Consider the following 27,365-nt stretch of genomic DNA (forward strand, 5'->3'; position numbering starts at 1 on the left):
TGCAACCTCCGACTCCCTGGTTCAAGCGATTCTCCTGTCTCAGCCTCCTGAGCAGCTGGGATTACAGGCACATGACACCACGCCCAGCTAATTTTTGTGTTTTTAGTAGGGACGGGGTTTCACTGTGTTGGCCAGGATGGTCTCGATCTCCTGACCTCAGGTGATCCGCCCACCTCGGCCTCCCAAAGTGCTGGGATTACAGGTGTGAACCACCACACCCAGCCCCACTTTTTATTTTTTACTTGTTTTTTAAAGAAAGTATAAGAACAAAAATGGTTAAAAGCACAGATTCTACAGCCAACATTCTGGATTTGCATGTCTGCTACCTATCAGCAATGTGACCTCTACGCCTCAGTATTCCCAACGTATAGCAAAGATACCTATATACTAACAGTAACAACAATAACATGTTATAGAGCTCTGGTGAGCATTAAATGAATTAAACAGAAAAATCTTAGAACAATGTATAGCAGAGGGTAGGCACTATATGGGACATGTCCACTATTACTAACCTTGAATAGCATTCTTAGAGAGATTACTTCAACCAAGCCATCCCATAGAAGCCCATCTAAAGTGACCAACAAAATTATCAGTAGACAATTGGCACAGCAAATACACTGGCTCTCGGTAGCCAATTAGCAACGTGAAGTATTAAAACCACCTGGCAACCTAGGATTTCGATTCTAGCTAGGCTTTCTCTTGTCCTCAACTTCCTCATCTGTTCAAAGGAGGAAGATGACTTAGGTAACTGACAAATCTAATATCCTAATAGGATAACTTTACTGTTTAAATAATGATAGATCTTTATAGTTGCCTCAAAAATGTACTCCAGTCAGTAGATCCAGAACCTGAAACACAACTCCATACTAACATACATGCTCCATAAGAGAGAAACTCCTTCAAAAACAGTCTCTTGGAATACACTGCAACAGAAAAGGACTTCCTCCATCTGAACATAATCCAATTGCATTTCCCTACAAGCATACTGTAACTCACAGATTTCATTCATAGATAGTTTCCTCTCACCTATCCCACTGCCCACACCATAAATACAAATTAGTGATATTTTACTCTATATTCACCAAGACTCTATGGTTTCATAACCACAAGAAGAACAAGTAATTTTTTCCCGCCTGCTAAAAACTCAAATATACTGCACAGTGAAAAATGCCTCACATACACACAAACCAACATAAAACACTTACACGAAATGCTGCAAGAATGATTCTTGTTACTTTCTCTTTGACAGACTCCTGAAGGATATCAGACAGAACTGGAATGATATTATAGCGCCGCAGGTGTTCACACATTTGAGGACTGAATGCCAGGAGCCATATTGAAAAAATCATTTGATACTGGAGCTGAAAGCCACACTTGTTACTCAACACTCCCATTATGCTGAAAAACAAACAAACAAAAAAAACACATTTACAAAACATTTAGAAAGAAGAAATAAGCAATTATTCTCTTTTTGCACTAATGGAACAGGTCTCTCTGAATTATGTCCTGTTTCTTTTCTGCCAGCAATAACAAGCAGCTAGATTGCTACTCACAGAGAACCATTTCCAGTACAGCTCCACTTAACCCTCTCTCCAAAAGTCACAGGATCTCAGGAAGCAGGAGCTCCTGCTGTGCGGCAAGAAGAAAGGGAACAAAGACTTGTAATATGGCAACGGGAATGGAAAGAGCAATCGGACAGACAATAGAGCCAAATGTTACATGGAGATTTTGAGTCTGGGCAACCAATAAGACCACCGATAGCTTTAAAATAAAGGAAACAGAGAAAAGAAGGGAAGCGCTTGGTGAAAACCTGTGATGGGTTCAAATTTGACATAGCCAATTACTGAATTCGGGGGTCAGGAAAAACCTCAGTTTGATCAAGAGATCAAAAACCTCAGTTTGATCAAATTTCTAGTTTGATCTCTTACTTTACTGATAAGGAAACTAGGAAAATGACATGGACATGAAGGAGGTTACACCAAGAGACAGAATATATACAATAGAAGAAAAGCTAAGGAAATTGCCCTGGGGAATACCTACATTCAAAGAATAGAGTTCAGAAATCATCAAATAAAAAAAAAAACAGAAATCATCAAATAAGACCATTAAAAGTGACCTTCATATTGGAGCAGAGCCTACCATTTAAAAAGAAAAAAAGACCAAAGGGGTTAAGAGCTCGAAGACCATAGAATGTACAACACAAAGAGTGAGCCCTAATATAAGCTATGGAAACTTACTAATAAAAATCTATTAACATTGGATCATCATTTGGAACAAATATACCATACTAATGCAAGATGTTAATGATAATGGAAATTTGAGGCGGGAGAGGAGAGGATGTAATGGAAACTCTCTGCACTTTTGGTTTTTCTGTAAAACTAAAGCTGCTCTAATAATATAAATGTTTAAAATGCTAAGCCTGATTTTACAATCTAAACTTACTGTAACTTACTGAAAGGCTTTTATCTGTGTCATTTCTTCATTTGTATGATTTGTATATAGTTCAGTTCACTAATTGTTTTTAATGTTCTCATGCATGGCTTTTGCCTTGTCTTCTCTATTTTTGGATGTTATGTAAAACTTGCTTTTTAATTAATATTGATATCAGTACATAAACTGCTATAAAATCATGTCACTTTATACTGTAAACACCCTAGTCCCTGGTTTCCTTTGCTGTCTGTTCCAGTTATTAAGCCAAGCCTTCTGCACTTGGCTTTGTGATGCTGTGGCTGAGACCCTGAAAACCACATTTCTGTTCTACCAGTTGGCTCCATGTTAGGCTATGCCAAGAACAGGAGCTAGAGGCTGACTTCAAGGAAGGAAGAACAGACTTCCTCCTGTTGGCTTCCTGATCCTGAGAGCATTACCCCAGTAACACTCCTTCAACCCGGCAGCAGCAGTTCTTTCCCACAGCAGCAGCCAAATTCAGTTTGCAGTTTTTCCAGCTCTAGCAGAACAAGCCTCATCACATTTCCTCAAAGATGTCAGCACTAGCCAACTGGCTCCCCTCCCCAGAGTCCTGGGTTCCAAATCCATGAGGCTTTTCCTCGGAGTTCAGAGACACCAATATCAGCTGGGCAAAACCTCCTCCTCAAATGTCTAAATTTCAGCTGTACTCAGCCCCTCCTCCAAGCATGCAAATTTTAATGATTCCAGTCTCTTACCATTGCCCACCTATTTTACATCACCCACCCCACCTTATGGGTGGTATCTGCACTCACTACCTTTCTGACACTCAAGAGTCATTTTTTTTTTTCCACTTTAAACAAAATTAGTGGTTGGGCATGGTGGCTCAAGCTGCTAATCCTAGCATTTTGGGAGGCCAGGGTGGGCGGATCTCTTGAGCCAGGAATTTGAGGCTAGCCTGAGCAACATGGCAAAACCCCATCTCTATCAAAAAAACATAACAATACCAAAAAATTTCCCAAAAAAATACAAAAAGGGCAAATGTGTACTTAGTTAATAATTCTTCATATCAAATTATATTAAAATAAAAAAGAATGCCAATGGTAGTTTAATGGGAATAGCACTGCATCTATAAATTACTTTGGGCAGTAGAGGCAATTACCCCCAGCAAAGGCCCACTTATAGCTCCAATATTTAGGAAGTTAATGTTAACCTTCAGACTTTCTTGTGAGGCTAACAATATATAGCACAATATAATGTAAATTTTTCTATCTTACATAGGTATACAAATAAACAGTGTTGTATTATGTATATAATAGGCTTTTTAACAACAATAAAAAAGTCAGCAAACTATATAGATTAAAATGTGCTGGGTTTTTTTAAGACCTCAGTTATCGGCCAGGCAAGGTGGCTCATGCCTATAATCCCAGCACTTTGGGAGGCCGAGGCAGGTGGATTACGAGGTCAGGAGTTCAAGACCAGCCTGGCCAACATGGTGAAACCCCATCTCTACTAAAAATACAAAAATTAGCTGGGGGTAGTGACGCACACTTGTAATCCTAGCTACTCAGGAGGCTGAGGCAGAATTATTTGAACCCAGGAGGCGGAGGTTGCAGTGAGCTGAGATTGCACCACTGCACTCCAGCCTGGGTGAGACTCTGTCTCAGAAAGGAAAAAAAAAGACCTCAGTTATCTTCCTCTCTTCAAATGGGCTATACTTGAAAATTTTTCTCCTCACATTATTCCTATTTGCAATGTGAGAAACACACACACACACACACACACACACACACAAATTCAATGCTAAGCAAAAACTCAAAAAGTAGAAAGTACATATTTCTGAAAAAATGAAAAGATTAAATGACTTTTTGAAATTGCTATACTTTCAGCAAGTTATTATACTTTTATTAATGCCCATTTCTCCACCTAAAGGTTTATCTGATTACTGCTAATCTTATTAGTGGTCATTAGCATATCAAAATATATTGGTTGAACATGAAATAGTCTAGATTATATTTATCCTGATCTTTTTGCTGCTAAATGGTTAACATTGCTGAATGGTCTCTAAAATACTAAGGTACTAGCCATCAGAACAGCAGCATTTGTTGTACTCAGTATACCATGAGAGTTCAAAGGGACCAAATTTTGGTATTTGAGTTTATTTTATAAGCAATTATAACTATTTGTAGAGATTGCTATTTCATGACTTTGATTCTTTCTTACAGGTCCTCCATAGGGAGAAAAAAATCTAATTTTTGGTTAGTAGAATTAAAATTCATTTTATCTTACAATAACCCTAATTGTAAGATAAAATGAATTTTAATTCTGCCAAACAATTCTACTGGACTCTTTTATAAACCACATATTATTGAATTTTAGTTGTCTTATGCTGTTTTATCATCCTATATATTATTTTATCATTATTCATTGATTATAACCAATTATACTAAGAAATCAAAGACTAAAATAATAAGAAAGTTAGAGATTGATGGAATCACCTAGGAAGATGATATAATAGTGAAATAAATAATTACCCTTTATTGCACTGCCCAAAATACTGCATTATCTTTTATGGAGGTAAAAAGACTGGTAACACCATTTTTGTAGTTCACCTTTACGTTTCTGTGCAGAAAAGAGTTAACAGCAAAGTCCTAAGGCTGCTAGCCTCAGAAAGACGTGCTTACAAGGTTGGCCTTTGGCTGGCTTCTGGGAATTTGGCTGGTAAAGTTTCCTAAATTGATCAAACTAAACCATTTGTACAAACATGTGGCTTATGCTGAATTCCTACTGCTATTGTCTAAATGTCTGTGTCCCTCCAAAATTCACATGTTCAAAGACTAACACCCAAGGTGATGGTATTAGGAGGTGGGGCCTTTGGGAGGTGATTAGGTCATGAGGGCAGAGCACTCATGAATGGGATTAGTACCCTTCTAAAAGGGTCCTGAGAAAGACCCCTGTCCCCTCTGCCATCTGAGTTTACAGTGAAAAGATGGCCATTTATGAATGAGGAAACAGGCCCTCACCAGACACCAAATCTGCTAGTGCCTTCATCTTGGACTTCCTGGCCTCCAGAAATGTGAGAAGTAAGTTTCCATTGTTTATAAGCCACCCAGTATTTTGTTAAAGCAGCCCAAATAGATTAAGACACCTACTTTATTTCAGGAGTCTGAAATTTTGGTGTGTTTTAGGCACAGTGTGTCTACATAACTAACTTCTAATAAAATCTTCAGAGCTGAGTCTCTGATGGGTTTCCGGGACAGAAACCTCACACAAATGTTGCTGCATTTTCAATGCTGGGAGAAGATACCCTGTGCGACCCCTCTGGGAGGAAGAGAGCATAAGGGAGCCTGCACGTGGATTCCTCCATACTCAGCCTGTGTCTTTGTCCCTTATGATACAGCTGTGCGTCCTCACTGTATCTCTGTAATAAATCTTATCTGTGAATAGAACTATATGCTATGTCTGTGAGTCTTTCTAATGAATCTCCTGACAAGTGTGAACACAGCTGAGAATTCAGAATTTTTTATTTTCTGCCCATAATAATGACCAACAGAGGAAAGTGTTTCACAATTATTAGATTATTCAGAAGATGAAAACAAAGAGATAGATTGCACTCTATTCTCTAACAATAATGGTGAAATGGGTCAAATAAGTGAAATCTTAAACTGTGAGTCTCTAGATAGCTATATCATAAATGCATTTACTCAAACTCAGGAACTGATAAATGAGGAATATATTTCTAAGGACAAAAAGGAAATATAGTATTCTCAACTAGTTAGCCACTGAACATGAAAGACTTCCAGACAGTATTCTGCAGCAAGAACCTAGATCATTTCGCTCAAGGACATGTGATGATTTTCTGTAATCTTTTATGATATTTGTGTATCAAAATGTACTTTTTACAAAAAGGTTTGCTATATTTTAATTTTTATTGAAATTTCTAATAGTTGTTTTTCACTCTCTTTATTCTTAGTTCCGTCAATTTTTCACAAAATGACTAAAAATATATTTTTAAAGGGTCTGTTGGACCCAGATGACAAACTGTGATGGCTATTTTTCCTGGCAAACTGAGGATTAAATAAACAAGAATGGACTGAAATTTTATAGATTAATAGAAAAATAATTAGTAACTTACTGAATTGATGGATATTGAATAGTTGTGACAATTCAAATAACAACTCACAAGAACAGCTATTCGCAGAAGTAACCCATTCTAAGAAATTGCATACAAATACTGACTGAAAAGACCTAGAATATTTGGGTCCCTTCACAGGTATATCCTACACTGGAGATACAGGGTAAGAGTCCAATGCTTGCTTTAAATCCTCACCCACCAAGCAACTTACTGTTGATAACCTAAACTCCTCTGTAGATTTTCTAACAGAGAAACAATGCCTTGCTAAATGAAAAGAATATTTGGTTTAAAAGCAGTTAGATCTCTCATGAACAAATAAATTGATTTTCTGATGGTAAAACAAGATTTCCATTGTTTTGGAGGTTTTCAGGTGCTTGTCTGTATAAGCCTGAACAGGCAGCTCCTCAAAGTTTCTATACCTGCAAATTAGGATCCCACAAAGATTGGGCTAAATTATATGGCATTAGAAAGAAAGGCTTATATTCACTCTTTCCTGGGTAAGAACTTTTCTTGTTGATTTTTGCCTACATTCATCATCAATTATTTTCTAAAATTTTTTATATTCTGAGTACCTGGAATCTGTCTTGTTAAGCATTAGGTTCTTAAGAGGCCTTAACCTCTTATAAAAGAACAGATCAAGCAAGGAAAGGGGCTCAGTTTGATAGTTACTAACTTCTAAAAAGCTTAGCATAGTCAATTGTTAAACAGATATGAAAAAAATAAAATATTTCTTTTAGATGATTACATATTTCTTTGAAAATGTCAAGGAGAGATGCTTGTAAATGTTATTTTACATTAAAAGGAAAGGGCACTCACCAATTTACCCCATCTGCTTCCACCCAAGCAAAGCGGTACTCATTGACCCGGAGCATCAGCTGCAAACACCCGGCCACGCACTGCACATACTGCGAACTCTGCACAAGAAGAAGTGTTGAGTTTTTAAATGGGAAGCATTTAAAGTCATGCGATCAGACACACATTTCTAAATGAAAAGTCAGATTACCTACTGGAATTACCATCTGAGCATCCAAAATTCCCTAATCTCTTTTCAAAAGTTAATCCTCATGTTTGCTTTAATCTCTACCTCTTAGAAATGAACAAGATTTTGTCTCCTGAATTAAATCTACACAAGTCAAGACTACTTAACACACAGGGAAATCCGGAACAAAATAATTTATATTTGATACAGTTTGATAAATAAGCACACTGCCTTGCAATGTTTCACATATCCCTGAATAAAGATACTATGTATAGAGAATACTGTTCCACATAATTACAGAACTATCAAAGAACAATAAAATTAACAAAAAGAAGAGTAAATACTTCAAGATAGGCCTATATGTAAATGACCGTGGACAAGTTCCTGAACTTTTTCAATATGAAATTTCTTCATCCTCATGAGAAAAACACTGCCAAGCACCCTGAATATTGTTAGATTTAAGAAAAATAATTTAGGCTATGCACAGTGGTTCATGCCTGTAATCCTACCACTTTGGGAGGCTGAGGCGGGGGGATTTCCTGAGCTCAGGAGCTCGAGGCTAGCCCGGGCAACCTGGTGAAACCCCATATCTACTAAAAATACAAAAAATTAGCTGGGCCTGGTGGCGCACACCTGTAATCCCAGCTACTTGGGAGGCTGAGGCATGAGAATTGCTGGAATCCAGGAGGCAGAGGTTGCAGTGAGCCAAGATCACACCACTGCACTCCAGCCTGGACGACAGAGTGAGACTCTGTCTCAAAAAAAGTAAATAAATAAATAAATAATAATTCATTTTACAACACAGCTAGACAAACATAGGAACTCAATAAATAAAAACTTTATTTAAAAACCCATATGGCATATAAAAAGTCTGATTAAACACTTGAAAAAGACTATGATTTTTAAAACCATCAGTTCAATAACATTGTCCCTTAGAAATTGTGCTTAAACCTGAAACTTAAAATAAACAGGAGTAATACTCCCAGAAAGTTGCAAGCCCCTTCATTTTACCAAAGCTAGTGGGAACATCTGACCTGGGCTTTTCCTTAAATATGTACAATAAGCCTTAAGACTTTAAGAAGTAGAGAAAGGAGGCTGGGTGCGGTGGCTCACGCCTGTGATCCCAGCACTTTGGGAGGCCAAGGCGGGTGGATCACTTGAGCTCAGGAGTTCAAAACCAGCCTGGCCAACATGGCGAAACTCCATCTCTACTAAAAATACAAAAATTAGCCAGGTGTGGTGGCGTGCACCTGCAATCCCAGCTACTCAGGAGGCTGAGGCAGAAGAGTCACTTGAACCCAGGAGGCAGAGGTTGCAGTGAGCCAAGATCACGCCACTGCACTCTAGCCTGGGTGACAGAGTGAGACTCTATCTCAAAAAAAAAATAAAAACAGAAGAAGAAGAAGAGAAAGGAAAAGAAATTTCAGACAACAGCCTTCAAAATGAACATGCTAATTTCAAAAAGAATTTCTTAAGGAAAGAATCACAGGTGTTATATAAATTCACAGAACCTAACATACATGATGCTACTAAACTTTGTTCCAATTTAAATACCGTTCATAAAAACCTAACACTTCAGAGAAATTCCAGGCACTTTAATACAAAAACAAAACAATATAAGTACATTTGGTGGAATAGTCTAATGTATCAAGAAAAGGTGATCTTGGGTTGTACCTAAAAAGCAGTTAATTTAGTTCCACAAAAACACAATATATCTAGTAATATAATTAGCCTGAAAACTCGAAACATTAGCAAAAATTAAAGACAGATAAATAGTGCATTTTCAGTTCTAAAACAACATTCCATAATGAAAAAATATTTTTTTTTCCAATTAAGTCATCAGGTAGAAACTTTTTCTAAAGAAGAGGAATCCCATCTTTCCTGCTTAGAGAGATAACCAAGCAAGATTTCTAGACAAATGAATAAAAAGGCAACAGAGAGCACCCTCTTCTCTTCCATTTACCATCAGTTTCCTCTCATCACAAAAATTCTTTGTTTCAGGGTAAGTGTTTCTTTTCTGTGGCTACTCACCATGCTATGTTGAAATACATAACACACTACAAGGATGGATTCTTGGTTGTTATTTATAGCTTCAGTATTCCCATTACAAATGAGCATATAAAAAGTGCTGGTCCTAAATCTGACATACTCTCTCCTATTGCACACTATCAGGCAGTAGCCATACCATTCCAGAGATTACTTTCATAGTATAGAGAGAAACAGCACTGGTAAATGATTAAATTATTGCCTTCAATTACGCAAAGTAGAGTGCATTACTTCCTGGTCTTTCACTTAAATTGAAGTTAAAGATGAAATAAAAATTTCCCCTTTTATGATACCAACAGCGTATTATTATGATACTCATTTTTTCAGAAGAGGAATCCAAGACATAAAAAGGTGATATAATTTGCTGAAATGAAAATACTGAGTTGGCCAGGCACAGTGGCTCACACCTGTAACCCCAGCACTTTCGGAGGCCGAGGAGGGTAGATCACTTGAGGTCAGAAGTTTGAGACCAGCCTGGCCAACATGGCAAAGTCCTGTCTCTACTAAACATACAAAAAATAGCTGGGCAGGTGGCATGCACCTGTAGTCTCAGTTACTCAGGAGGGTCAGGCAGGAAAATCGCTTGAACCCAGGAGGTGGAAGTTGCAGTGAGCAGAGACGGCATCACTGAACTCCAGCCTGGGCAACAAAGTGACACCCTGTCTCAAAAAAAAGAAAATAGCGAGTTAATCTTAGATTGGCAGTAGAAGTCAACTCTCTTCATGCTTGAGCTAGTATTCTTTGTACTGTGCCAAGCATTCTGAGCTAAGAACTTGCTACAACATGCACTTTCTATACAGCAAACCTCAATGGCAGAGAAAAACACTATTTTCACTTCTCAACACATTTAAGAGAATGTCATTTAGATAAATTCTTCAATGTTGCTGAAAATGCAAGCTCTTACTATATTACAGTGAAAGTCACAACACAAAGATAATAGCAACTACAGTATTCACCTTCCTGGTGAATGTGGTCTCAGAGATCCATATACTACAGAATTACAAATTCAGTAATTGAGGAACTGCAAAATAAGTATGCAATAAACGAAACATAAAAACATCAATGATACTGTATGTACAAAGTAAAACTAATGTTATAAAAATGTTTACAAATTTTCAATATTCATCTTCATAATGCTAGGATTTAAGTGCAAACTAAGTGAAAAAGAATAAAGACCGTATTCATCTACATTCTGGAATTATCCGCACTTGAGAAAACAAGTCTGCTTGGAGTAAAAGGCATCTGTTCCACAGATTCATGGTGAAAATGCACAGCACATTGGTATCAGTGAACCACAAAGATGAACTTTTCAAACATACAATTGACTAAAATAAGTCCCAGAAAGCAGTTTTAAGTGAAATGAAAAGATGCTGATCAAAGTTCTAAAAGTAATTAATATGTTTCATGACTATTAAACTTTTCTTTTTCTTTTAAAACTAAAAGGTGATTGTATATGTGTGTATGTGTGATTTTTGCTTCAATATAGACACTTAGAAAACACAGGACAATATCAAGTGTCAGTAAAGAACTGAAACAAATGGAATTTTCATGCTTTGTTGAAGGGCACACAAACTGAAAAAACAGGCAAGATCCACTAAAACTAAATTTACATACATCCCATTAATCAGCAATTCTATTCTAAAATTAGGTGCTGCAGACATAAAGGTATACATCTGCCAAAAGATATGTACAAGAATGTTCACAGCAAAATTATTCACAAGAGTCAAAAAACTAGAAGCAACCCAAATATCCATCAATAAGAGAATGAGTAATATTCATATAATGAAATACTACATTGCAATGAAAAAGAATTACTGCTAAATGCAATGAATGAATTTCATAGACACAATATTAAGCAAGAGAGCTCAGACACATAAGAATTTATACTGTATGATTCCATTAAATGGAGTTCAAGATCAGACAACACTACTCTATGGTAATAGATGTCATAATAATGATAACCTTTGTGCGAGTTGAGGTGAAGGCAGTAGGAGGAATTATGAGGTATACATTTATCTCGCTGAACATTTAACATCTGTGCATTTTCCTTTATGTAAGTTATGACATAATTTTAAAAAAGAAATAGAGAAAAGAAAGTAAAAGAGGAATAGAGAGGGAGAAGGACAGAGTAAAAACTAGAACAAGAATCAGAAGTTTTGTCACATAATGTTGGGCAAATCACTTAATCTCGAAAATTGTTTTCTCGTTAGCAAAGGAAAAGAAAAATAATATCTCTACCACTGGGAAAAATAAAAAAAAACTGTCATGACACTGAAATCAATTTCTACAAAACACTAAACAATTGTAAAATATACTATTATTATCAATATTCAGGAATTAAAATACATATATACCCCAAGAATTCTCTTGAAGTTGGCTGATTAAAAGAGATCCTCTAGTCAACAGTCATAAAATATCTAAATGAAGATAGTTTCACCAAAAAAAAAATAGTTTTACTATTGGTTTACAAATTTATAAATCTTCAAAGTACTGCTTTCAATCTAATGTGCTTAATCCAGTAATTCAATTACATGACTAGTGGGAATCTTTATTACAGAAAAAAAATTGTCAGCATAACTAAAAAAAAGTGATTTTCTTTATAAATTATTGCTTTGTATGCAACTTCCGAGAACATAACTGATAAATACATAGTATTAGGTTAGCTTATTATTGTTATCAGTGCTATACTTTGAAAATGACATGTAAAAGAAAGTCTTAAATTTAAATACTTTACCAGTTAATTTTCTTTTGCATTTCAGAATATATCTCCAGGCAATCCTTCCAAAAATCAATACAAAGCCCATTTTATAATCAAGTGTTGAACAGCTCGTGTAATTTACTGAATACTGTGCTGAAAGTGAAAATCATAATGGTCATATGGATACTTCATGTACTATTTCTACCAAATGTATATGCTTTTCACACAACTGTAAAGTTGAAAAATCATAAGTTGGACCATCGTAGGGCAGGGACTGTCTGTAATTGCCTGTGAGTTACTCCAGGTCCCCACAAACTTCACAACTCACCAGCTACAGCAGACTACAATTTAATAACAGGCCTGCAGTATGTGAATAACTGATGTGGCCCACTGATTTCTGCTACTTAATCAGCACTTTTGATGGACTTATAATCAAAGCAGTAAAGAACTAAAGCAAAGAAGTCTTCCACCTCTTCTGAAGGGGTGACAAGTATTACATCAGCACAGCATTAAATTAAAAACAAACTAGTCTCTCATTAACAAGAATATTAGAACTGCCAGAGAAAACAATTTAAGGAATCTGGTCAAAAGCCAAAAAAAAACTAAGTCCTAGGCCAAGTGTGGTGGCTCACGTCTGTAATCCCAGCACTTTGGGAGGCCGAGGTGGGCAGATTACCTGAGGTCAGGCGTTCGAGACCAGCCTGGCCAACATGGCGAAACCCCCATCTCTACTTAGAAAAAAAAAAAACTAAGTCCTTTTTCCTCTCAATCTAAAATACTGTTACTGCACACTAAAACACGGATGAATCTTGAAAACATTATGCTAAGTGAAGGAAGCCAGTCACAGAAGACCATGTATGATTTCAGTTATATGTAATGTCCAAAAGAGGCAAATCCCAAGACAGAAAGTAGGTTAGTGGTTGCCAGGGCTTGGAGGCAAGAACAGGAATGGGGAAGACTGTTAATGTGTACAGGGTTGGTTGGTTTGTTTTTCTGAGATGTTGAAATGTTATGAAGTTAGACTGTGGTAATGGTTGCACAATTCTGTAAATTTATTAAAAATCACTGAATGGCAAAATGATGCATTTTATAGCATGTGAAATATATTTCAATAAGGCTCTTTTTAAAACTAAATAAAATTGAAAATTTACTTCCTCACTCACACCGGCAACACTTCCAAGGGCTCCAGAACCACATATGGTTAGGGGCTGCCACAATGGACAGTACAGCTATCGTGAGCATTTCTACCATCACAGAAATTTCTACTGGACATGGATTGCTCCACTAAATCAAGAGGCAAGATGAAACAAGCAAGAAGGACCTGGCAACTTAAGTCACTACTAGTGACACAGCATTCATCTAGCAACTACTCATTCCAGACTGCTTCTGCAACACAAATCACAGAGAACAGGACACGGAAACATGTGGGCTCTCTCATGAATCGTTCTCTTGCCTATGCGTACTGTAAAAATGAAGCTAGGGAGGGGAAAAATGAAAACAGAGAAAGAAACAAATCCCCAGGTTCTTTCTAAATCTTCCAAAGTTTGTGGAGGAATCACAGTATTCTTTCATCAGGGCATCAGCACAGCAATCCACTTCCACGCTGTCCTGCCTTCCTCAGAAGAAAAGACTTACAATCCATGTTTAAGAATCAGTAAACAACTCAGACAGTCTAAAGTAAGTACATATAATCTGATGTCTATTTTCACAATTAGGAGAAGACAAATAATGCACTTTAAGGAAATTCCACTTATCTAATGTCATTTAAATAAAAATGTTTCACTGGGTACAGTGGCTCACGCCTATAATCCCAACACTTTGGAAGGCCAAGGCGGGTAGATTGCCTGAGCTCAGGAGTTCAAGACCAGCCTGGACAACATAGCGAGACCTTGTCTCCACCAAAATACAAAAAAAATTAGCGGGGCATGGTGGCTCGTGCTTGTAGTCCCAGCTACTGGTGGGATGGGGGTCAGAGGTTGGTGGTGGTGGTTGGGCTGAGGCTGGAGGATCGCTTCAGCCTGGGAGGCAGAAGTTGCAGTGAGCTGAGATCGCACCACTGCACTCCAACCTGGGTGACAGAGTGAGACTCCATCTCAAAAAAAAAAAAAACAAAATGTTTGTAATGATCCACTTATAACTTAAAATGATGCTTCTGAGGCCATTTTAAAAAAGGTAAGACTGTTGAATCATGTTTATTTCACATTTTGCAGTGTAAAACTTGTTTTATACTGACATCAAGTGGCAATAATTTGTAATGCAGTTTACCAAACTGCTTTTCTCCACTCTGAAAAGATATGATTTAAAGATGTGATACTGATACCTTAAAAAGTCTGAGTAAGCAATGCAACTTGAGGAATGCCTAAAGATGCAATTCCAACTCAGCTGCCTCACAAGTAATTCTCTAAGCAATCCATTTCTTCAGAGTCTCTGTGTGACCTCGGGCATGTTGGTATGTTTTTCTGTTTGGTCTCACTACTCATCCATAAAATGCGGCTAATGATATGACCTACATTGAACAGGGAGTGTAAATATTCAAGGAGATGTAAATGTAAAATGAGTAAGCGTCAGGCACATAGTTAAGTGCTCAATGAATATTAGCTGCTATATTAAGATTCCCCTATGGAAATATAAGAATCAAAGGAAGGGCTGACACCCTACTCTCAACACATGGAGGTCTGCTTTTCAAGTAGACAGCCATCTAAAAAAGTAAGAACTTCAGGAAGAGTCCAAAAATATGTTCAGGGTTGAGAGTCACTAAAGGGAAGAAGGTAGGAAACCAAAGGCCATCTTTTCCTAACTCACAATCACTCCTGATGTGAATTCCATTTGGGATGTATATGAATCTACCAGGTAAATCACTTAGACCAACACACCACCAATTCAGTTAATTTTGTTTTTCTAATACACTGCACAGAAAATAGCAAAATAAGGATGTCATGTCAGCAGAGTTTGCATTTCCTTATTTAAGCTTTAATAACTTAAAATACTTTGACAACCACTTAAATAAGTTTGTAAGTCTAAAATAAGCTAAATAATTTTTCAAACTGGTAGAAATTCAAGACACATGAAATGAAGACTCTCAATTTAAGCAAAATAAAGATTCTCAATGTAAACATCTGCTTCTGATTGAGAAACGAGGCTTCTTACCTACCATTTCCTCAGCCCACCATGGCCCCAGGATCGCGTATCTAGTTCTATACCTTGTTCTGATTCCACTTCAGAAGGCTAATAGCCATTTTCTGGCCTAACATATGAGTCATCAAACACTTCAACCCATGCTCCAAGAGAAGCCCAGCTTCAAAATGGATTTTGCTGCCATCTATGGTCTTGGAACATACATACCCGTGACATTCATTCAGATTATGGGAGTACCAGCAACCAATATGGATATTAAATGGCTCCTACAGAGCTTCACTTGGGTCTATTGCAGGCAGGTTACAGAAACTACCCTCTAAAGATACTTCCTAGTTTCCTAGTGATACTTTCAACAAAGGAAGCTAGACACACTTCTGTTTCTGTCTCCGTTTTCCCTAACTTTCTATCAACTGGCTCTCATCATGAACATCGTTAACTTGTCCAAACTTACTTCCAGTTCCTGAGCTATTCCTAGAGCACAGCAAAGTTCAGCCATTCCCAAATGGAAAACGTAACTTTAGCCAAGAAAGGAACTTGGGGAGCCATAATTAATCTTAATTATGTAGATTATTTATGTATTTATGTAGAGCCTTTTGGCTCTACAAAAATGTGGAAAGAAGGCCTGGCGTGGTGGCTCATGCCTGTAATCCCAGCACTTTGGGAGGCCAAGGCAGGCGGATCACGAGGTCAAGAGATCGACACCATTCTGGCCAACTTGGTGAAACCTCATCTCTACTAAAAATACAAAAATTAGCTGGGTGTGGTGGCGGGCGCTTGTAGTCCCAGCTACTCGGGAGGCTGAGGCAGGAGAATTAATTGAACCTGGGAGGCAGAGGTTGCAGTGAGCTGAGATTGTGCCACTGCACTCCAGCCTGGGGGATAGAGCTAGACTGTGTCTCAAAAAATAAATAAATAAATAAAAGTAACTGAATTTCTTTCAAATGTTTGACGCTTTTGTTCACCTTTTGATTAGACAGATATTAGACAGTTTAATCAGATAACTGAAGTTTAAAGAGAAAACTTTATGATTATTTGCTCCAGTTGTGCTTCTGAATTCTGATTTTTGCTTTGTTTCTCAGGTCTGAAACAAAAGTCACCTGGAAAAAAGAGCAACGGGAAAGAACAAGTCTTATGTCTACCACAGAAAAGATGATCTCCACAGACCATCAATATTTATATATAGTTTATAATACAATTAACCTAACTGGAGGTGACCATGGATTTATAGTTGGGGAACTAGTAAACACCTTCAAAATTTTAAGTGTATATGACTCAAAATAATTTATTTTGGGGATGTTTAGGCCAGTGAAGGAATATACTTACATCACTTGAAGAGACTGTTCCTGTTTCAACAGCAACACCGCTACCACGCAGTTTCTATTACGAAATAAATAACTCATTATTTAGTTTTGTTTTGATTTTATCCTAATGTATCAGCTTACAAAAGGGAGCTAAGCAAACTTTTCCCCTAATTCTATGTAATAATTTTTCCCCTATAATTTTATTCCTAATCCTACTAAATAAAAAGCAAGGGGATGACATAAAATGTTCTAAATATCGTTACATTCTTCCAGATAATATATTAATCAGTAAGTAGCTAAAAATGGAACAATAATAAACTGACTACTAAGCTCCAGGTAAATTTCATGGGTAAAGCTAGTGCAAATTTCCAAGTCTTAAGATTTACTTACTGAATTGTTTTTCCAGTAAAATGACTGCCTTAAATTGAACTATCCACACTATATTCTGTAGCAAAGCTTTCAAAAATAGGTGCCTGATGTCAGGAAGGTACAATATGTGACTTGGTTATCCACAGCAAAGCTAATGAATTATAATGACAATCAAAATCTCAAATGTCATATAGAAATGACCAAAGAAAATTTAAAGAAAGTCAGAGGCTGAAAGTGCAAGAGAAAAGCAATAATGAATTTCTGAAAGGAAATGTTAACTTTGTATCATTCAATAACTACTATCTATGAAGTACAGGCATGAGTCCCCACAACCCAAGTGCAACGCTCCAAACTACCCAAAAAGGCTTCAAAGGCCACTATAAGGTCAAAGAACAAAACATCTAAACTTGCAGCTAACTTGGACTTTTGAAAGTTTATTTCTATTAGAATCATGAAATTGTGGTACTTTTTGTGAGAGAGAAAAACACTTGTGACAGAGAAAAAAGAGACACTCTAGATGTAGCACTATCGCATGACAATTGAGCAAAGTAGCAAGTAATATCACAAATAATTGTTACTTTTTAAAACGAAGAGTCTGAATTTTAATCATGATAGAAGGCTATGAAGAAGTGCCTGCCCACAGCAAGAGGGACAGTGCAATGAGAGCCAAGCAGAAGCAGTAGCCAGACTAAGAAGCAAGGCCAGGCTAAGCCTGGGTACCCTGAAGAGTTCCCCTGCAGCAGAAGGACCCGCAAAGCAGAGGCACTGCACAATTTAAAGTCCACAACTTAAAGCCAAACACTCTGTGATAAAAAAGAGTGCACTAAAAAGATGCAGAAAATACTTGAAGAGCATTTATCTATAAAAAGTTCAATTCTAATGAAAACTATTCTAGACATTGAAATATTTACTTCCACTAGTGATGAGAGAAATATTCCTCCCAGTTGTTGCACATCATTACAAGCATAGTCAATCATTCCAGAAGTGACAGTCACCTGAGAGGCACAATGTATCTGTTATTCCTAGGAGGAAAAGTTTAAGGTAGAAGTGCCCAAAAAGCTAGTAGCACGCCACGGCATCCATTCTTCCCTACCAATTTTCATTTTATGAATTCAGCTACAGAGCCTTATTACCACTATACCTGAAAGCTAACATTACCCAGAATGAAGTTTTGTTTTTGTGGGGTTTTTTTTGTTTTTTGAGACAAGAGTCTCATACTGTCACTCAGGGTGGAGTGCAGTGGCACGATCACAGCTCACTACAGCCTCAACCTCCTCAGGCTCAGGTGATCCTTCTGCCTCAGCCTGCTGAGTAGCTGGAACTACAGGTGTGCACCACCACGCCCGGCTAATTGTTCTATTTTTCGTAAAGACGGGGTTTTGCTATGTTGCCCAGGCTGGTCTCAAACTCCTGGGCTCAAGTAATTGGCCTGCCTCAGCCTCCCAAAGTGCTAGGATTACAGGCATAAGCCACCACACCAGGCCTGGAATGAAGTTTATTTAAAGGGAGAGATCATTTCAAAGCAGGAAAAAAGGGAGAAGTGTATCCTATTTAACTAACATTCTGATCCCAACCAATATGCTACATTTAGAAATTTTAAATCTCACTTTCACAAGCATGTTTCTTACATGTTTTAAATAGCTTGTTTTTGAAATATCTCACAAACTCAATAAAATGGTGGCTCTTGTAAAAACGCTTTTTAAAACCGAGCCCCAAACCAGTTAAAATTGATGCTATTAACATAAAAAAGATTTTGATCAAGAAACTCTAAAATATCTCCATCCAAATACAAATGGCAATTAGGCTCCCCTAAAAAAGGCAGGCAACAAGACAAAAAGTAAATCTAAGCAAAATACAGTGTCTTTCTTATGCCTCAAACTAAAATCTATTAAAATAATAAAGTCACCTGAAATCTAAATGGCAACTTTCAAAAAATTTCAAATAGACATTCATTTGTAATCTAACAACCTAATAATATTGTTTCTCCTGGTCCCATTCCTCCTCTAGGTCACCCTCACATCAAAATCTCATTCCCTTCTACCTTTTCATCTCCAGAATCCTCCTCCCCTGTCCACCTTCAGTTCTCTCCTCTTCTGAGTATCAATCCCACCAAACCTCTTCATACCTACACTTCAACCCTGTAAGCCTGAAACTAACACTCCACAGAGCCATCATTCATGTCCTATCTTTTGCCCTGTTCTGAGGAAACATGAAGACAAAACAGAAAACTTGTCATTTTCCAAGGCATTACACCTGCAGGCTATCTTCCTCCACGAAGACATAGAGCTAGAAAGGCCTGCAAGCAACCAACATGACCAGTAGGTTCGTTAGGCCTAACTAATCCCACCCTGAAACTGTGAAATTGTGAGAACGAGCCACCGTGTGGGACAGTGTCCTTTCACAGCTGGACCAGGTAGCTCCAGGCTCACCCCTTTCGCAGCTGGACCAGGTAGCTCCAGGCTCACCCAGAGGCAGCTGGAAGCACGGGAGGGACTTGGCCAGACAAGGACAAGCAGGTTAGCTAATAATGATCTAGAACATGCTGTTTGCAGTTTGAAATGCCCCTGGTGGCACCCAGGACCAGTTTGTTTATTAGTGTAATCGGTTAGACAGCTTAGCCTGGTTATGTAACCAAAAGGGCATAAAAGATCTCACTCGAATCTTTCAGAGAGCTCTCCAAAAACCAAGATTTCTCGCACAAATCTTGGTGGTTCACAATCCTGGGGCAGCCAAGGGAGCTGCGCCTGGAAATCTCTCGGCCCGAGGCATGCTCTCTCCTGCTGTACCGTTTGTTTTCCTTTATCGAAGCCTCACACGCACGTGCTCTTTGGAGCTGTGTGGGTCCTTTCAGTTCTCCAGCCTGTATCATCTTGGCAGCCACCTAGAAGAAAGGTACTCCCTGACCCCTGAAAAGCATGACTAAGAAACCCCAAGTGGCAGAAAAGACAGAAAGGATTGAAATGAAGCCAGTCAAAGAAAGAAAAAGCAAAGCACACTACCATATCTGAGAGTAGTTTGGTTTACTTGACAAGTTCAAAACGGCATTATTTTAATAAAACATTTTTGTAATTTAACATATTTACTATAAATAGCTTAAAAGAACACGGATGTTATATTCCTTTCAAAGGTACTTTAAAAAATTTTCTTTTACCTGTGAACTCAGCTGAGTTTTTATCCAATTGAAATAGTAATTTAAGTCACTGCCTTCCATCAGTTCTTTTCCCCAAGCTGCTAACTTGGCAATAATTCTTGCTGCCTGAAAACAAATAAGAGATACATTTAACGCAACATTAATTCTAAAAATCACATCATATACCTTAAAAAAAGGATTTGTAACAATTTTGCTACACAATTTCTTAACACTCAACCCCTCTAAAAATAATAGTTTATATTTCATTTTTTAAAATATATTTTGAAACAAACATTAAAAATATATTTTTAAATATTTCCATCAAAGTGAACCCAAATTAGCTGGGTCTTAGGAATTTCTTGACACTCCCTGTATTATTTTGAGTTTCAAAAGTAAGATTGGAATTCATTATATGACCAGCAAAAAACAGAACACAAAAATCTTTCTTAGAAGCAGACTGTCACCAAACCACTTGCCAGAATTCTAAGCAATCTCTTCAACAAACTGCCAGCCTCTCCCACACTCATTCCAAGCCACTTGGGAGTTTTAATACTTAAAAATCCATTTCTTAGGATAATATACATCCTAGGTATTAGTCGTCTCTCCCAACATAAACAAATATCCTTTCTCCTGAAAGATTTCTCCATTTTCTTCAAGCTATAAAACTAACCATTTTTAAAATTAAATAGGCAATATAAAGTACTAGTTCTCCATACACAAACCAATTTAATAAATATTCTATCAGTACTGAGAGCAAATCACTGTCTTAAAACTCCAAATCATTCAGCAATAATTCATCCCAGTAGAGAATGAAAGGCTACACTAGCTAACCTCAAAATAATTTCCTGTGCTGGTAGACTCATGTTTGTTCTTACATTTGAATACAGCAAACCAGTCTGACAGGTACACTTCCAAGGTCAGAATGTCAGACACTTAAGTGTTCTGGTGTATTTGGAATTCTACAACATAGGGACTAATGGGGCGCCTTTACTTGCTCATTGAGTTGTGACATGCTGAGGTTTTCACATGCCCAGCTAAATGAATTTATAAATACATTATCTAGTTTAAACTCATCTTACTGTCACAAAATAGACAACTGACTTAAAAAGATTACTGTTAGGAGGCCAAGGATTGAAAATATTATCAGCAGTGCATGCACAAGACAAAGGAACAAGAGCATAAGCTAGCATAAGCTCTTTATCAGCACATGGTTAAACCAATGGGAGTCTGCCCCTCAGAATGTGAAAGATTGGCCAAAAGTAAATGAAATTACCAAGAAGTTAACATGGATTTGGCTGCACAGTAATAATGAACCATTTCCTAAGTGTATATTTGTTTAATATATTTGTCAGTTTTGTTGCTATACCATTAGGAGGACATTTAAACCAAACAGTGAAGAAAACAAGCCTCTACAATTTTAAAGAAGGAAATATATTACTGGCTTTTTGAAAAGTATTCTTTAAAATACAGTTTATTTCATCAGTCCTCCTTAATTTCTTTTTATAGATATTTCATAATGTCCACAACATATAAATATACTATATGAATACAATATATAACTATACTGTATGAATACATATACATGTGGAAGGAGGGAGGGAGGGAGCAAGATAACATACATGTTCAAAAATGTTTCACGGCCAGTGGCCCTTGATTTGAAAACTTTAAAAACATCTACTGAAACAAGCAGCCTCTGGAGCTACCACATGCCCCCAACAGCTCCTGCCATCCCCAACCCGTAGCCCACTCCCCAGTGGAAATAGAGAAGTCTTGTTTGTACAAAGGTTTATTCTCTCAACCCTGCTTTCAGATTCCATGAAAAATTCTTCAGTACTAGGGCTTCCAAACATAGCCTAAGTTTAAAACAGGAGTGTAGGCCGGGTGCAGTGCCTCACACCTGTAATCCCAGCACTCTGGGAGGCCGAGGCAGGCAGATCACAAGGTCAGGAGTTCAAGACCAGCCTGGCCAACATGGTGAAATCCCGTCTTTACTAAAAATACAAAAATTAGATGGGCGTGGTGGCGCATGCCTGTAATCCCAGCTACTCAGGAGGCTGAGGCAGGAGAATCGCTTGAACCCGGGAGGCGGAGGTTGCAGCAAGCCGAGATCGCACAACTGCACTTCAGTCTGGCAACAGAGTGAGACCCCGTCTCAAAAAAAAAACCAGAGTGTATTTAAGATATTGAAAAGCAATCAGGTAACTACTTAAAATAAAAACGAAACACAGTAGCTGCTTCAAAGTAAAATTTAATTTCTATATAGTAAAATGTAGTTAACCCCACTACAAACACTGTAGAGCTGTTTACATGTGAGAATTCTCCACAGGCTTTGATGCACTCCTTGTAGTCTACAAAACCTCAACTGCATCAGAGCAACCCTATCTCCTTCCAACTCCCAATGTCCTTTCTCTACTGAACACCAATATGGAAAGCTATGTCATAGTAGTTACTCCTATGGGAACGGACAGGTTACTATGTCATAAAAGGCCCAGGTTTCTTTCTTACCTGAATGAGAATGTAATCACAATTCTATCTGTCAATTTTAAAATAATAATAAAACAAAAATTTTAAAATAAAAACCTTTCTTCTTTGTATTTAAAAAAAAAAAAAAATCCAGCTGGGTGCAGTGGCTCACACCTGTAATCCCAGCACTTTGGGAGGCCAAGGCAGGCGGACTGCTTGAGCCCTAAAGTTCAAGACCAGCCTGGACAACATAGTGAGACCCTCTCTCTTTAAAAAAATTTTAAAAAAAGAATCCAATCAATTCAAAATTTACCATATGAACAGTGAAGGGATCCTGGCGATTCAACATTGGCAGAAAGTAGGGCCACGCAGTGTTCTTGCTACATCTTGCATAGTCAAAGAAAATGCTAACACGCTGATGATTTTCCTAAAAAAGAAAAGAAATGATATCACCAGTCAGAACACATTTTGCTAAAGAATGTAACGACTGTGCACCACTTCTCAACCTCCCATCAGTCTGTGTTCTTTTTTCAGTGTGTGTGTATGTGTGATTTGTCTGTCATTATTACTACGGGGCAGGGGGTAGGGATGGTAGTAGGCACAGATATTTTACTAAAAAAATCACCTTTAATGATTATGATTATTTTAAATCACAAAGTGTAAGACTACAAGTTACACTTCTCGGCCTGCACCTCTGACCTGCTACTCCCAATGTAACAGGTCTACACCCACCACCGATAACCAAGTGTGAACACCTGGCTGCCATACGAGGGAAATCAAAATCGGAAAGGGAGCAGGAAGAGCACAAATTAGGTCTAGATGCACCTCGAACTACTAACAAATAGGCAAGGGAAACAGGGAATTAAATGAATCGCAAATGTTCAAGTTACTTCTTAGCATATCATGGTAGAAAACTTGGGATAAAGACAGCAGAAAACAGCATATACTACCAGTGGACATAGGATCTGAGTAAGAGAAAATTCTTAGTTCCAATCATTAAAACTTCACCTCTCATCTAAATTTTCTCTATCACTGGCTGAGATCCACTTTCTGATTCATTATGTGAATATAGTTGTTAAACAGCAATACTTTTTTAAAAATTTTTTTACTACACCACCATATCAGCAGTAGCAATACTTTTTCTGATTAAACTTTTATTAATTTATTTATTTATTTTATTTCCATAGGTTACTCGAGAACAGGTGGTATTTGTTATGTAAGTTCTTTAGTGGTGATTTGTGGGTCATAATACTTTTTAAAAGCACAAATAACCACATAAACAAAAAATTCCTATTTTCAGATTAACATTTAATTATTTTTAAATATAGTGGGGTTTTTTGGTTAATATTGGTCTACACTAATAATTACCCATCAAGGAATAGCCTACTGTCTCCTTAGGTAATGAGTCATTATTGTTTAGAATAACAATTGAAATAGTTGTGATAATGATTTTATCAAGGAATCCAAAATTCAGATGAGCCATCATTGCTTCATTGGTAGAGGTATCCAGGTTACAGACCTTTAAGAGAATAAGGATAAAGAAATCTTTCCGGTCAGGTACACTTAGCAACTGCTGTTGATATCCATGCAAAGAAAACAATTTAATCCTCAAAATCAGGTGCTAAAAACTAAGCATGTGAGGAAACATAAGCAATTCTGTCCAAAAGCATTTTGTTCAGAAGTGATAAGGATGAAATGATAGGATTAAAAATAGAAAAAAAATTATTATAAATAGCACAAGGAATTATGATAAAGGTATATATAAACTTTTCCATGCAACTAAAATTTTACAAATAAAATCAACTGCTAAACTATAATGAGGGCCAGGTGCAGTGCCTCACACTTGTAATCCCAGCACTTTGAGAGGCCAAGTGGGAGGGCTGCTTGAGCCCAGGAGTTCAAGACCAGCCTGGGCAACATAGTGATACCCCATCTCTACAAAAAAATAAAAAATTAGCCAGGTGTGGTGGCACACGCCTATGGTCCCAGCTACTCAAGAGACGGAGGTGGGAGGATCACTTGAGCCCAGGAGTTCGAGGCTGCAGTGAGCTGTGATCACACTACTGCACTTTAGCCTGGGTGACAGAGCAAGACCCTGTCTCAAGAAAACAAAAATAAAATTAAAAAAATAAAAATATATACATTGGGCCAGGCACAGTGGCTCACGCCTGTAGTCCCAGCACTTTGGGAGGCTGAGACAAGCAGATCACTTGAGGTCAGGAGTTCGAGACCAGCCTGGCCAACGTGGTGAAACCCCATCTCTACTGAAAATGCAAAAATTAGCCGGGTGTGGCGGCATGTGCCTGTAGTCTCAGCTACTTCGGAAGCTGAGGCAGGAGAATCGCTTGAACCTGGTGGGTGGAGGTTATAGTGAGCTGAGATTGTGCCACTGCACTCCAGCCTCAGTGAGAGAGCAAGAATCTATCTCAAAAAAAAAAAAAAGCATATATATATATATATATATATATATATATATATATATAAAATACACACACATACACACATTGTATATACATATATACATATGTATATACAAATGTATATATGTATATACGTATATACATATATACATATGTATATACAAATGTATATATGTATATACGTATATACATATACTTTGTATATATATAGTATATAGTGTGTGTATATATACACACATTTGTATATACATAGTATATATATATGCTTTGTATACAAAGTATATGTGTGTGTGTGTATATATATACACACACACACACATACATACATACATACATTGAACTGGTGGATGAGAATAATACCAGCTACCTAAATCTGAATCTCTCCACTGATCCTTCATAAATAAAGGTCGACAAAAAGATCAACTAAAAACTACACAAAACCCATGCCCTCAGGATAACAAGACAGAGAATACACATTTGTAATTAACCATAATAAAAGAAACACCAAATCCCAACAAAAGCTATCTCTCATACTCCATCACAAGCTTTTGTGGATGATAAAGTGCATCTGAAAAATGTGTGTAGAAGGAAGGATATGGGCACAGGAAGGAAGAAGTTCTAAGGTGGATCTACAATCGCCACCATAAAATAAAATAAACTCTAACTATGAAGAAACTGAAAAAGAGTACTGGTAGACCAGAGCACGAGCTACAGGGAGCAGGGAGCAGTCTTGGAAAGGCATCATTTTTGAGAGATAATAAGGTTTAAAAAAAAAGAAGAAGAAGAAGAAGAAGCATCTTTAGGAGATTGGGTGGCAAAAAGAAAAAGGAACAAAAGAGGAAACTTTAGGGTTCTGCAAGACAAAATGAGACCAAAAAAAAAAATCCAAGGGCATACAATCTGCCCCCCACCAAAAGAAAGTCATCTATTAAAGAAACTGCCAGCCTTGGCATATAATGAGACCCTAATCTCTACAATTAAAAAATTTTTTTAATTAGCAAGATGTGGTGGTAAGCGCCTGTAGTTCCAGCTACTCAAGATGCTGAGGTGCGAGGATCGTTTGAACCCAAGAGTTTGAGGTTACAGTGAGCTATAATGGCGCCATTGCATTCCAGCCTAGGTGACAGAGTGAGATTTTATCTCAAAAAAAAAAAAAAAAGAAAAGAAAACAAAAGAGGCCAGGTGCAGTGGCTCACACCTGTAATCCCACAACTTTGGGAGGCCAAGGCTGGCAGATCACCTGAGGTCAGGAGTTCTAGACCAGCTTGGCCAATGTGATGAAACCCTGTCTCTACTAAAAAAACAAAAATTAGCCAGGCGTGGTAGCACACGCTTGTAATCCCACTACTCAGGAGGCTGAGGCAGGAGGATTGCTTGAGCCCAGGAGGCAGAGGTTGCAGTGAGCCAAGACTGTGCCACTGCACTCCAGCCTGGATGACAAGAGCAAAACTCTGTCTCAAAAAAAAAAAAAAGAAAAAGAAAAAAGAAAAGAAAGGAAGGAACAGGAGAGAAAGAGAATAAAACAAACAAACTGCATCTCACCAGAAAAAAAAAAAAGAGAGAGAGGCCAGGTGCAGTAGCTCACGCCTGTAATTCCAGCACTTTGGGAGGCCGAGGCAGGTGGATCATTTGAGGTCATGAGTTTGAGACCACCCTGACCAACATGGTAAAACTCCATCTCTACTAAAAATACAACAAAATTAGCTGGGTATGGTGGTGCATGCCTGTAGTCCCAGCTACTCAGGAGGCTGAGGCAGGAGACTCATTTGAACCCGGGAGGTGGAGGTTGCAGTGGGCAGAGATCATGCCACTACACTCCAGCCTGGCCAATGGAGCAAGACTCCATCTCAAAAAAAAAAAAAAAAGAGAGAGAGAGAGTCCAGGTGCGATGGCTCACACCTGAATCTCAGAATTCTGGGAGCCAAGGCAGGCAGATTTCTTGAGGCCAGTATTTCGAGACCAGCCTGGGCAACATGGCGAAATCCCATCTCTACTAAAAATACGAAAATTAGCTGGGCACGGCGGCACACGCCTGTAATACCAGCTACTACTACTCTGGAGGCTGAGGCATGAGAATCACTTGAACTTGGGAGGTGGAGGTTGCAATGAGCTGAGATCGTACCACTGAACTCTAGCCGAGGCAACAAAGTGAGACCATGCATCAAAGAAAAAAAGAAGAAAAAAAAATGGTACTCTTGAGTGAGGAGTATTATAAACCACCCAAATCCATGATATGAATAGATGAAAGAACCCCACACAGATACAAAACTACCATAAAAAGAA

The 27,365-nt window shown here is 37.8% G+C and overlaps 1 protein-coding gene across 5 annotated transcripts in view; it reads right to left on the minus strand.

Moving 5' to 3' along the window:
- Nucleotides 1-27,365, minus strand: part of ATP6V1H (ATPase H+ transporting V1 subunit H) — a 127,703-nt gene that overhangs the window by 78,899 nt on the left and 21,439 nt on the right. For 2 of the 5 annotated variants that reach the window (NM_015941.4, NM_213620.3), the window contains exons 5-9: nt 22,976-23,089; nt 20,221-20,325; nt 16,723-16,776; nt 7,358-7,455; nt 1,206-1,398 (exon numbers count right to left, since the gene is read on the minus strand). In NM_015941.4, coding sequence (NP_057025.2) covers nt 1,206-1,398; nt 7,358-7,455; nt 16,723-16,776; nt 20,221-20,325; nt 22,976-23,089 — 564 coding nt within the window. Of the gene's footprint in view, nt 1-1,205; nt 1,399-7,357; nt 7,456-12,300; nt 12,375-16,722; nt 16,777-20,220; nt 20,326-22,975; nt 23,090-27,365 lie in introns of those variants that run through there. The other 3 variants (NM_213619.3, XM_006716455.4, XM_011517542.2) reach the window with 2 other exon arrangements.

Source organism: Homo sapiens, chromosome 8, assembly GCF_000001405.40.
Source record: "Homo sapiens chromosome 8, GRCh38.p14 Primary Assembly".
Classification (NCBI taxonomy): domain Eukaryota; kingdom Metazoa; phylum Chordata; class Mammalia; order Primates; family Hominidae; genus Homo; species Homo sapiens.